Raw genomic sequence first — 12209 nt, 5'->3', positions numbered from 1 at the left:
CAGCACGCGCATCACGACAGCCCCCGCGTGCGCGCGGAGTTCCACTCCAATCCTCGAAGTCTGCTCTACGCATGCGCTATCTGCGCCTTTTACACTAGCGACCAACCCCTGCAGTTCCACCTTCAATTCCCACCCGCAACCCCGCCTCAAAGGGCAGAAATCATAGGCCCTGTAATCCCCTTAAAATCCTATAATAATCCCACAAAATCAGTTAATCAGAATACAACTACTTCGCCCATCCAGCAACCTGCCGGGTGACAGCGCGCTGCCATGACAACAGTACACGCAGCTCCGCCGCTCCCTGCGGCCGCGCGCAGGCGCAGAAAGTAAACGCGGGGGGAGGGGGAGCAGTGTATTTTGGGAGCGGCAGAAAGAGCAATGCAAGTGTTTCTGGGAGTTGTAGGCCAAGCGGGACCCCGGAGCCGTAGGCGCATCCAGCGGAAGTGTCGCATGGGCTTCTGGGAGTTCTAGGCAAGAAAGCCCCAAGACCTTATGGGAGTGGTAGTCTCGGAGTCACTTCCGGGCCAGGCTTCCGCGTGGTGGGCAGTGTGGGCATCCCAGCACTGAGTTCTGCCCGGGTGAGTATTTCCTCCTGCGGTGGGTCGGCATGTGGACTCCGGCTCTTTGTTGCGGTGCCGTGGGAGGGTTGAGGGTCTCTTCGAGCGTAAGGCCTCTGTGATTTCCCAGCGCCCGTGTCCCTGAGGCCTTGTAGCCAGGATTCCCACTTTGAACGCTGCGGTCCGGCCTGTCTCTTACCGGGCCACTCCCTTCCCCAAGACAGGATAAGACCATCTGCTTGCCCCCGCCCCTATGTTACTATCTGCCTGTCCCCGCCCCCATGCCACACATTATCTGTCCTTTTGACAAGGCTGCAATCCAGAGGCATCCCTGGGGTCCGCGGCCTCTCTTCTGGGAGCACTTATTATTCCCTCATCCTACAGATACTTACTGAGCACCGACTCTGCGCAGGGCGGCGGGAGCGAGGGCACCAGACCAACCCTGTCCCTGCCTTGAAGCAGAGAGACAGACCTGTCACCAGTGACAGCTAGTCAGGATCAGGGCAGCTCTGAGGGCCCTGGTGGAGGCGCTCGACTCAGTGACGAGGGTCCATAAAGTCTTTGAGGGAAGACGCTTAACATGCATGTCAAACCTGACGTGGCCAAATGGAATTCCTGGTCTTCTCACCTCACAAAATGGCCCCACCGTCCCTCCAATGCTCAGGCCAGAACCTCAAAGTTACCCTTCATCACTTTCTCTCGTCGTTGCCCCAGTCCCCACTCCAATCAGTCTTATACAAGTCCTGTGGGCTCCACCTTCAAAATAGATCCAAAATTTCACTTCTTCCCACCTCTACTGCCAGCACTCCTGTCTAGTGTGCTGACCTCCAGCCTTCTGTCCTTGTCCCTGACAACCAACAGTCCTCCCCACACAGCAGCCAAACGAATCCCACTTTTTTTATTTGAGACAAGGTCTCACTCTATCACCCACGCTGGAGTGCACTGGTGCGATCATGGCTCACTGCAGCCTTGACCTCCTGGGCTCAAGTGATCCTCCTGCCTTGGCTTCCTGAGTAGCTGGTACTACAGGCCTGTGCCACCAGGTGCAGCTAATTTATTTATTTATTTTTTTAGAGATGGGGTCTCGCTATGTTGACCAGTCTAGGAATCCTTTTAAAACATGCCAGATCATACCACTTTACTGTTCAAAAACCTCCCAAGGCTCCCATCTCCTCCTGAATAAACCTAAAATTCCACATCATGGCCTATGAGGCTCTGCTAACTTGTGCAGCCTTGTCCCCTGCGAGCGTCTCCCTTCCTCAGGACGTGGACCCCCCAGGACTGGGTGACTGTAGATTTAGGGGGTGAGGAGAGATGAGTCCAGGGTGACGTTACGTCCTGTCCTGCAGATGGGCTGGATGAAAGGTGGTGGCTGCTCTCAGAAGAGAGGGAACAGATGGGCAAGAACAGGTTTCTGCCTTTCGAGGAAGAAATAGGTTGTCTGGGCGCTTAGGGTCTGAACATCTTTAAGGTGCCCCAGCCATGTGGAGGACCAGCCAGGAGGGACATCTGAATATCATGATTCAGAGGCGCTCATAAGAATGGAAAGAAGCTGGGCACAGTGGCTTACGCCTGTAATCCCAGCACTTTGGGAGGCCGAGGCGGGCGGATCACTTGAGGTCAGGAGTTCAAGACCAGCCTGGCCAACATGGTGAAACCGCATCTCTACTAAAAATACAAAAAAAAAAAAAAAAATTAGCCAGGCATGGTGGTACACGCCTGTAGTCCCAGTTACTCGGGTGGCTAAGGCAGGAGAAACGCTTGACCCTGGGAGGCAGAGGTTACAGTGAGCCGAGATTGTGCCACTGCATTCCACCTGGGTAACAGAGCCAGACTCCATCTCAAAAAATTAAATTAAATTAAATTAAAAATCTTTAAAAAATGGAAAGAGATGGGTGCTAGGCAGGACCTGAGGACATGAAGAGGCGTCCCCAAAAGAGAATTGAGCAGGAAATCCAGGAGCACAGAAGGAGTGAGTCAAAAGTCGGGGGAAGAAAGATTCCAAGAGTTGCTGCTCACCTGTGACAGATGTTCCCGACGGTCACTGCAGATGAGTCCTAAGGGCTGCTTCTTGGGCTCAGTGGCAGGAAGAGTACTCAGGGCAGAGGGGAGAGCCAGTGCAAACATCTGGAGCAGGAGTATTCCTCAGGTGTCAGAGTAAACGACATCAAGGCTGAAGGAGAGGAGGTTGGAGAAACAAGGAGCCACACATGTAGGGCCTCATCGGCCATTAGCAGTTATTATACTAAAGTGAGATGGGATCCAGGGGAGGATGCTGAGAAGATTCAGGGCATGATCCCACTGGCTGTTATGTGAAGGAGTGTTTGTAGAGGAGGCAAGGCGGGAGCAGGAGACCTGTGGGGAGCCCCATGCAGCCGTCCAGGAGAGAGACAGACCAGACTAGGGTGCTGCCGTGGAGACGGTCCTAAGTGTTTGGCTGTTTTGAAACTACATTCAAACAGGATTTGCTAAATTTCATTTAGGTACCTGGAGTTTGAAAAGGTCCGGACTTGGCATTGCAGTTTGGTGCCACCCACTGGGAGCATGACAAGTGCAGTGAGAGAAAGAGCAGTCCAGGGTCCTGGACCCCAAAGCTCCTGGCCTGAGCAGCTAGAAGGATGGAGCTGCCCTGTACTCCAGGAGAAGCACGCTGGGTTAGAAGAATCAGGAATTTGGGTTTTGAGATGCCTATTAGACATCTGAGTGGTACTGGTCTCTGCCCTCATAGAAGTTAGAGATGGTAAATATATAGTCACATAAAATAATTCCACACATTGTGGTAAATCCTAGAAGCAGCGTGACCTGCTCTGAATGGCAAGGAGGTGACTACAGTAGTCCAGGCTGGAGGTGATGGTGGCTTGGGGAGGAGAACTGAGCCTGGGGAGTTTTTATGGGTTCACCAGGCAGGCAGGACCAGGATTTGACTGGAGGGTTGGAGTCTAGGCTGGGTGGGGAAGAATGAAGTAGGAAAGATAACAGATGAAGGTCAAAGATGGGCCGATCCATGTCTTGGTGAGAGCACAGAAGCTTGTGGGGCATTCTGATACCAGAGCAGGGTTGAGTTCAATCTTGGAGGCCCACCCATTTTCTCACCCTCAAAATGTGTGCAACCCCAGCTGGTCTCCTGAGAGGTGTGATCCAGGCTGCCTGTGTTCCCTGGAGAAGGTGATCACCCTGCCTTTCATAGGATGCAATCAGAACCCATTCCTGGAGACCGTATCCCACCCTACAAAGTGCAATCAGTTGGCCTTTCCTGTTTTCCACCTCCCGCTGCACAGAGCTTCAGTCCCCTGGCCTCCCTCTGCCCTTAGAGTCAAAAACCCCTCACCTCCCAAGGGCTTTTAACAGCCCTGGTGGCCCAGGCCAATGATACCTACCTTGTCCTGATCAGGACTGTAACAAGGGTGGCCTCCCTGGAGGTTGTGACAAATGGGCCTTAATATACACCCCCATCCCTCTGGAGAGGACACAACCTAATCCTGGGTATAACCTGCTTGTCGCTCCCTCTCTTTACCCATGAAGCCAGCTTCTTAAGCTACTTCTCTTCTTCTTGCATAATGGGTGCAATCCAAGAAGCCTTCCCTAAGGCAGTGGCTTCCTTACACCGGACCTATTTATAACCATCCTATCCCCAGCGCTAGAAGAAGCTACTCCACTCGCGCACACGTCTCCCTGGTCTATTCCGGGCAGAGGTGCAATCCAGACAATCTCCCCGATGGCAGGGACCCTGCAATCCGGAATCCATATGTAACCCACCTCCTCTCTCTCCCTGTCTAGGAGAAGCCGACCCCTCCCGCAATGCCCGCCCCGCCGTGCGCCTCCTGCCATGCTGCACGCGCCGCCCTCCGCCGTCCGCTCTCGGGCCAAGCGCTGTGCGGTGCCTGCTTCTGCGCCGCCTTCGAGGCCGAGGTGCTGCACACGGTGCTCGCCGGCCGCCTGCTGCCGCCCGGCGCGGTGGTGGCCGTGGGCGCCTCGGGCGGCAAGGACTCCACGGTGCTGGCGCACGTGCTGCGCGCGCTGGCGCCGCGCCTGGGCATCTCACTGCAGCTCGTGGCCGTCGATGAGGGCATCGGTGGCTACCGGGACGCGGCGTTGGCGGCCGTGCGGCGCCAGGCGGCGCGCTGGGAGCTGCCGCTCACGGTCGTGGCCTACGAAGACCTCTTTGGGGGCTGGACGATGGACGCCGTGGCCCGCAGCACAGCCGGCTCCGGCCGCAGCCGCTCCTGCTGCACCTTCTGTGGAGTGCTGCGGCGCCGGGCGCTGGAGGAAGGGGCGCGCCGCGTGGGAGCCACGCACATCGTGACAGGTGAGCGTAGTACGGGCCGCAGAGCGGCACTCTCCGAGGCAGTGGGGCGAATGCACAGGCGAGGAGGCGGGACCTGAAAGGGGATTCAGGCGCATGCTCCAGAAGGCGGCGAGGAGACCCTGGTGGCTTAATGGGAGGATCCCTGTACGGAGGTGCGGAAGGGCGCATGCTGCAGTTTGGGGCTGGGGCCCTTTAAAGGTTCAAGACGCTGGGGAGACAGAGGGGCCAGGCAGTGATCACAAAGGTTTTTGGGTCTTGGCCACCGTCTTGGTCTCCACAGATTGCCAAAGGGGTGGGAGGTGAAAATCTCTGGAGATCTCTGGTCCTTTACTTATTTTTAAATGTTTCTAACATGCTTGATCTCTTATGGTCCACCTTTCAGAATCCAGCTCTTTCTCTAAAAAGCATCTCCATCTCTTAATTCCTTTTCTTGGTTGGCCTCTCCTCTTTGATAACTTTTTTTTTTTTTTTTTTTTTGAGACAGAGTCTCGCTCTGTCTCCCAGGCTGGAGTGCAGTGGTGCGATCTCGGCTTACTGCAACCTCTGCCTCCCGGATTCACGCCATTCTCCTGGCTCAGCCTCCCGAGTAGCCGGGGCTACAGGTGCCTGCCACCACGCCCAGCTAATTTTTTGTATTTTTAGTAGAGACGGGGTTTCACCATGTTAGCCAGGATGATCTCGATCTCCTGACCTCGTGATCCACCCACCTCGGCCTCCCAAAGTGCTGGAAGATAACTTTTTTATTCTGTCTTTTTCATCCATTCCTTCAACAAACAGATGCTAAGTTTCTGCTATATGCCGGATCCCAACTGTGGCCATACCAAAGTTCTTAACCACTCTGTACTTCTGTTTCACCCCATCCCTAAAACAGGACTATGAATGGTACCCAGCTCATAAACTTGTTATGACAATTAGATGAGTCAGTAGAAGTATAACGTTATCTATATTATAGTTATGTTACATAACCCGTATGATATAATATAGATTACACATTTTATACATGCTATTATCATCATCATTGTCAGGCTAGGGCTGAGAATACAGTTACGCACAAGTTCCTACCTTTGCATGGTTATCAGGTACAAAATTATAAACATTATACATGTTATTGACCATGTATGGACATGTTATGGACTATGTGTACACACAGAGAACCCTATGACGTGGAGGGAGTGGGGTCAAGGAACGGTTTTGAAATCTGAAGGCTCACAGTGAAGAGGTAAAGCGGGTAAGAATTAGGGAGAGGTTATTGGCCTGTGAAAAGCCAATTTGGGCTGCCCCAAGAAGTCCAGTGTGGCTGGAACCCAGAAAGCAAGGGCAGGGGAGGCTGGAGAGGTGGAAGAGGTCAGGCCTTACCCTGTAGGCTGTGGCGGAACCAGTAAAAGTGACATGAAGAGAGTTTCACTTTGAAAAGCTCACCCAGGCCATGGCGAGGAACCTGGGTTGGAGGGACAGGGACAAAGCCGAGGAGACCAGTCAGTGGGAAGCCAGCTGCGGTGATGGAGGTGAGAGATGATGGTTGGAGAGAATCAGCACACTGAAAGCATATGAAGGCAAAAGTAGTTCTGAGGCTGTCATGTGCCACCATGCTAGGTAGGGCCACTGGCTCTGGGGAAGGCTTACTGAGCTTCATTCACTGATGTGGCCCTTTCCTTACTGAGTAACTTTGGAGAAATCCCTAGATCTCTGTGATTGAAAATGGGAAGAATAATCCTTACCATACAAGAGCAGACAGTGTATGGAAAGAATGAAAGGCTTCGGCCGGGCACAGTGGCTCACACCTGTAATCCCAGCACTTTGGGAGGCTGAGGCAGGCGGAATCACAAGGTCAAACGTTCGAGGCCAGCCTGGCCAACATGGTGAAACCCCGTCTCTACTAAGAATACAAAAATTAGCTGAGTGTGGTGGTGGGCGGCTGTAATCCCAGCTACACGGGAGGCTGAGGCAGGAGAATTGCTTGAACCCGGGAGGCGGAGGTTGCAGTGAGTCGAGATCACGCCACTGCACTCCAGCCTGGGTGACAGAGCAAGATTCCAGCTGGGGGAGAAAAAAAAAGAATGAGAGGCTGCCTCGGATTTTAAAGTTAATTTGATAGAATCACTTATTAATTGTACTTCCAAAAGTAATGAAGCCTTCCAGAAAAATCCCTGACTTGCAAGGTGATTTCTACCCTTTGTTTATACACTCCATTTTCAAAGGCGTAGTATAATAATTGTTGTAATAATTATTACAAAACTGGGAGCTCTTAAGTGGGTTTGTAATGACAAGGTGTGGAGCAAATCCAGTCTCCCCTAATTAATGTGGTTTACAACTTTAAGTCAATAAACATTCAACGAGATGTCGTTTGCAGTAGCAAACATGCCCAATCTCAAGGTCACAGGGCTTGGCAGGTCTTTGGGAGGTAACCATTACTACAAACACAATTAGAGCCAAGTTCTTGGAGGTTTTTTACCATATAGACCAGGGCCTCTCAACTTCAGCCCTATTGATATTTGGGGCCAGATAGTTTGTTTTTAGGGAGCTGTCCTCTGTGTTATAGGATTTTAGCAGTATCCCTGGCCTCTACCCACTAGATGCTATTTAATAGTAGTGCCCCACCCCCAACCTGACACACAGAAATGTCTCCAGCCATTGCCAAATGTCTCTGGGGGAGGGAAGGAGGGCAGACTCATCCCAGATTGAGAACCACTGATATAGACTCAAGTATAACTTGACAAGACACAGAACAAGTTTAGCTTCAATTTCATGGTGACCAGTGTGTAAATATTTCTCACTGTTACTTCTAAACAAAGATAACACAAAAACACTGCAGTGATTACAGGGGTGGTGACACATGCTAGTAATCCCAGCCGCTTTGGGAGGCCGAGGCAGGTGGATCACTTGAGCTCAGAGGAGTTCAAGACCAGCCTGGCCAACATGGAGAAACTGCGTCTGTATAGAAATACAAAAATTAGCTGGGCATGGTGGCACACACCTGTGGTCCCAGCTACTCTGGAGGCTGAGGCAGGGGGATCACTTAAGCCCTGGAGACAGAGGTTGCAGTGAGCTGAGATCGTGCCACTGTCCTCCAGCCTGGGCACTAAAGTGAGACCCTGTCTCAAACACACACACACACACACACACACACGCACAATAAAACAAAATGAAAAAAAAAAACCATAAAAAAACTACAGTCTGGGTTGTCAGAGGCTCTGTGTCAAGAACCAGTTGTTTTCTCTGGCTGCTGTAACAAATTACTTCAAATTTCACAGCTTTAAACAACACAGATTTATTATCTTGTAGTTCTGTAGATAGAAGTCTGGGAAGTCTCACCGGGCTAAAATCAAAGTGTCAAGAGTGCTGCCTTTCTCCTGGAGGCTCTGGGGCAAGGGGGTCCATTTCCTTGCCTTTTCCAGCTTCCGGAGGCTGCCCACATTCCTGGCTGATGGTCCCTTCCTCCATTTTCTTTTCTTTTTTTTCTTTTGAGACAGAGTCTTGCTGTGGAGCCCAGGCTGGAGTGCAGTGGAGTGATCTCGGCTCACTGCAACCTCTCCCTCCCAGGTTCAAGAGATTCTCATGCCTCAGCTGGGGTTACAGGTGCCTGCCACCATGACCTGCTAATTTTTGTATTTTTAGTAGAGATGGGGGTTTTGCCATGTTGGCCAGGCTGGTCTCAAACTCGTGGCCTCAGGTGATTCTCCCACCTTAGCCTCCCAAAGTGCTGGGATTACAGGCATGAGCCACTGTGCCCGGCTCTTCCTCCATTTTCAAAGCCAAGGATGGCAGTTTGAGTCCTACACCGTTTGCATCACTCTAACCTTGCCTCTGCCCTCACACCCCCCATATGCAGTAGGCGGGTGGCAAATGAGGTATCCCCAAGTTCCCCAGGGAGCTTGTGTGTGTTCCCCTCTCAATTCCTGCTGTGTCCACCTCCAGCCACCACCTAGCTGCACCACAGTGCCCAGGGGGCTCCATGGCCCCATCTCCCTCTCCCGGTCTCTGGGTCCTGGCTGTCCTATGGTGCCAGAGGGGCTCCATGGCTCAGGCTTCCCCTCCCCATCTCTCTCTGGGTCCTGGCTGCCCACTATGTTCAAAGGTCTCCATGGCCCTATCTCTCCCTTTTCTGCCTCCCTCCTCCCCTCTAAGGGTCTTTGTGATTACCTTGAGCGCACCTGGATAACGCACCATTCTGTCCCTATTGTAAAGTCAGCTGATTAGCAGCCCCAATTCAACTTGCAACCTTAATTCCCCTTTGTCCTACAACCAAACATATTAACAGGTTCCCAGAATTAGGCCATGGATTCCCTAGGCGGTGGGGGAGACAGCAGCCTGCCTACCCCTCCAGCTCTCCTGAGAATCTCGGTTAAATGCCTTAAATGCCTTCTGATTTTTGTGTACAGTTTGAATTACGGTTTTAACTGAGGCTGATAAGGTTATTAGCAGCATAATGCACTTTTACTCCCTATATGAAAGGGCAACTAGCATAAGGTCCGCTATGCAGTAGGCGGGTGGTACATGAAGGCACGCCCAAGTTGCGCCAGGGGAGCTTATGTTTCTCTTTGATTTTTTGTTGTGTCCACCTGCAGCCTGCACCTGGCTGCTTCACGGTTCCCGGAGGGTCTCCATGGCTCGCTCTTGCCCTCCCCGTCTCTCTCTGCGTCCTGGTTGCCCACAGTGCCCTAGGGGTCTCCATGGCTCTCTCTCCCCCTCCCTGTCTCTGGATCCTGGCTGTCACACCATGTTTGGGGGTCTGTCTCCATGGCTTGCTCTCCCCGTCGCCGTCTCTCTCTGGGTCCTGGCGGCCCCACTGTGCCCTGGGTCTCCGTGGGTCTCTCCTCCCAGTCTCTCTCTGGGTCCTGGTGGACCCTTGGTTCCCCGGGGGGCTCCCTGGCCAGCAGCGCCCTCCGCGCCCCACCTCACCCGCTCCCTTCTCTCCCCACCAGGTCACAACGCCGACGACATGGCGGAGACCGTGCTCATGAACTTCCTACGGGGCGACGCGGGGCGGCTGGCCCGGGGCGGGGGCCTGGGCTCTCCCGGCGAGGGGGGCGCCCTGCCGCGCTGCCGCCCGCTGCAGTTCGCCTCGCAGAAGGAGGTGGTGCTGTACGCGCACTTCCGCCGCCTCGACTACTTCTCCGAGGAGTGCGTCTACGCGCCCGAGGCCTTCCGCGGCCACGCCCGGGACCTGCTCAAGCGCCTGGAGGCGGCGCGGCCGTCCGCGGTGCTGGACCTCGTGCACTCGGCCGAGCGCCTGGCGCTGGCCCCGGCCGCGCGGCCCCCGCGCCCCGGCGCCTGCTCCCGCTGTGGGGCGCTGGCCAGCCGCGCGCTCTGCCAGGCCTGCGCGCTCCTGGACGGCCTGAACCGCGGCCGGCCCCGCCTGGCCATCGGCAAGGGCCGCCGGGGTCTGGACGAGGAGGCGACGCCGGGGACGCCCGGGGATCCGGCCCGGCCCCCCGCCTCCAAGGCCGTCCCCACCTTCTAGCGACTTCGGGCCTCCCGCCGGGATCTGATGCCGCGGGGTGGGGGCTGCCTGTAAATGACACTGTGAATAAACCCGTTACCTTACCTGGCCTTCCATGTGGGGTTGGGAAGGAGACGGGGGCCCATTCACCTGAAACCCTGAAGAAGCTGGGACCCCAGACTTCGAGGTCTCAGGGAAGAAGGGTCTCGAACTGGGCTTCAGGCTCTGAGGGAGGAGGGGGCTGGGGGACCATCCTAGGTCTGAGAGAGGAGAGGGCCAGGACTAAGCCTAGAAGAAGTGGGACTGGGGACCCCAGGCATCTGTGGCTGAGGAAGGAGGGCCTGGGGTCGTGGACTCCTGGGTCTCAGGGAGGAGGGGGCTGAACACCGTGTGATTCTTGAGCGAGTGGGGATTGGTTGGGGACCTCCTGCCCAGGGCCTCTGCTGGTTCTGGGTGCGCTCAGCATGGTCCTGACCCTCCTTGAGCATCAGATTCCTGATGTTTCCTGTTTGCCCGCAGTGGGGTAAGCGGAGCGTGACTTGATGGACACACGCCATTCACAGCCGCCGTCACGATGCCTCCCTTCCAGCGCTTCGTGTGTAGCACGCACTGCACCCTCATTTCGTCTCCACCACGGTCTCACTGGCTGTAGCCTGAAGTGGTAAATGGCCCTAAGACACCCAGTCGGAAGGGGTCACACCGAGGGCTCCCTCCAAAGCTCTCGAATATCACAGGTCGTGGAATTGGTCCTCCCCCACCCATCCCCTCTCGAATCTCTCCTGGTATCTCTGTCACGGGTGAGGAGGGGTTGGATGCGTTCCCCAAACCTTGGACTCTGGAGGCAGGGTTGTGTGAGCCTGTCGGTGACTTAGCCTCTTTCATGTCCCATTTCTCCTATGAAAATATAATCAGCCCCCTTCCCCCCCGCCCCCCCATCCCCCCCGCATCAAGGCACCACTGGGAGGAAATGGAAGATCAGAGAAGTTGAGGTGCTCAATAAATGGTGACCACTTGGACTTGGTCGTTCATGTTACTGTCTGACCACCAGGGGGCGCCGGGTCTCAGGGTTGCTGTCCTGTACAGGTACGGGGAGGTTGTGAGAATCTCAAACTTCCCGGGGAGATGGTGCTCTCAGTCCCACCTCCAGGACTTGCTGGGCTGGCTTCTTGTCAGAAATGCCCCTTCTTCCCATCACCCTGCTCAGATCCTCCAGGGTCCTCCTAGAAGGCTTCTCAATTCTCTCCTCCCATCACCCAACCCAGGGCTTAGTATTCTCCCAAACCCCTGCTTCTCAGTCCTGTCTTCACTGTGTGGCCACCCAAACTTGGGCTGGAGGCCAAGGACTAGATGATTCACTCAAAACGTGTATGAGCATCTCCTTTGCATCAGGCACTCCTCTGGGTTCTAGGAACATGGCAGTGAACAGGAGACAAGTCTCTGCCCTCATGAAGTTCAGTCTGGGAGAAACGGACAGCAAGCACATCAATATGTAATGTCAGGTAGTGATGAATGCTACAAATTAAAAAAAAAATGATGAGAGAGAGAGACAGGAAGAGCTTGTTTCCACAGGGGTCAGGGAAGGAAGGGCCTTGGAGGAAGTGACGTTATGCACAGACCTACAGAAGCAAAAGAACAAAGCATGGAGCCATTTGGGGGAAGAGCTTTCCTGGTGGAGGGAACTGCTGGTGCAAAAGCCTGGAGGGGTGGGAATCAGCTTGCAAGTGCAAGGAACAGCAAGTCCAGTGTGGCGGGAACAGAGTGGGTGAGGAGGAGAATAGCAAGAGATGAAACGAGCCACTAAGCAGGGATGGGCCGTGCATGGTCTTCTGTTGGCAAGAAAGACTTGTATTTTAAGAGTGATGGTAGGTCTTTGGAGGGCTTTGGTCCCAACAGTGGGTCCAATTTC

The 12209-nt window shown here is 54.3% G+C and overlaps 1 protein-coding gene across 1 annotated transcript, besides 1 other annotated feature; it reads left to right on the top strand.

The window, feature by feature from the left end:
- Positions 221-550: an enhancer, noted in NCBI's record as "active region_15008". NCBI's record gives its function as "activates an Ori minimal core promoter by ATAC-STARR-seq in GM12878 lymphoblastoid cells {active_cell/tissue: GM12878}" and the evidence as "EXISTENCE:reporter gene assay evidence [ECO:0000049][PMID:35858748]".
- On the top strand, positions 516-11319 carry CTU1 (cytosolic thiouridylase subunit 1). Its single transcript, NM_145232.4, has 3 exons — positions 516-578; positions 4335-4863; positions 9786-11319. Exons 2-3 carry the CDS (start codon positions 4356-4358, stop codon positions 10322-10324), a joined length of 1047 nt encoding a protein of 348 aa, NP_660275.2. The 5' UTR covers positions 516-578; positions 4335-4355; the 3' UTR covers positions 10325-11319.
- Positions 11320-12209: the final 890 nt, after the last annotated feature.

This window comes from Homo sapiens, chromosome 19, assembly GCF_000001405.40.
Source record: "Homo sapiens chromosome 19, GRCh38.p14 Primary Assembly".
Taxonomy (NCBI): domain Eukaryota; kingdom Metazoa; phylum Chordata; class Mammalia; order Primates; family Hominidae; genus Homo; species Homo sapiens.
Note: the sequence above shows the minus strand (reverse complement) of the source record. Positions and strands in the feature narration are given on the sequence as shown.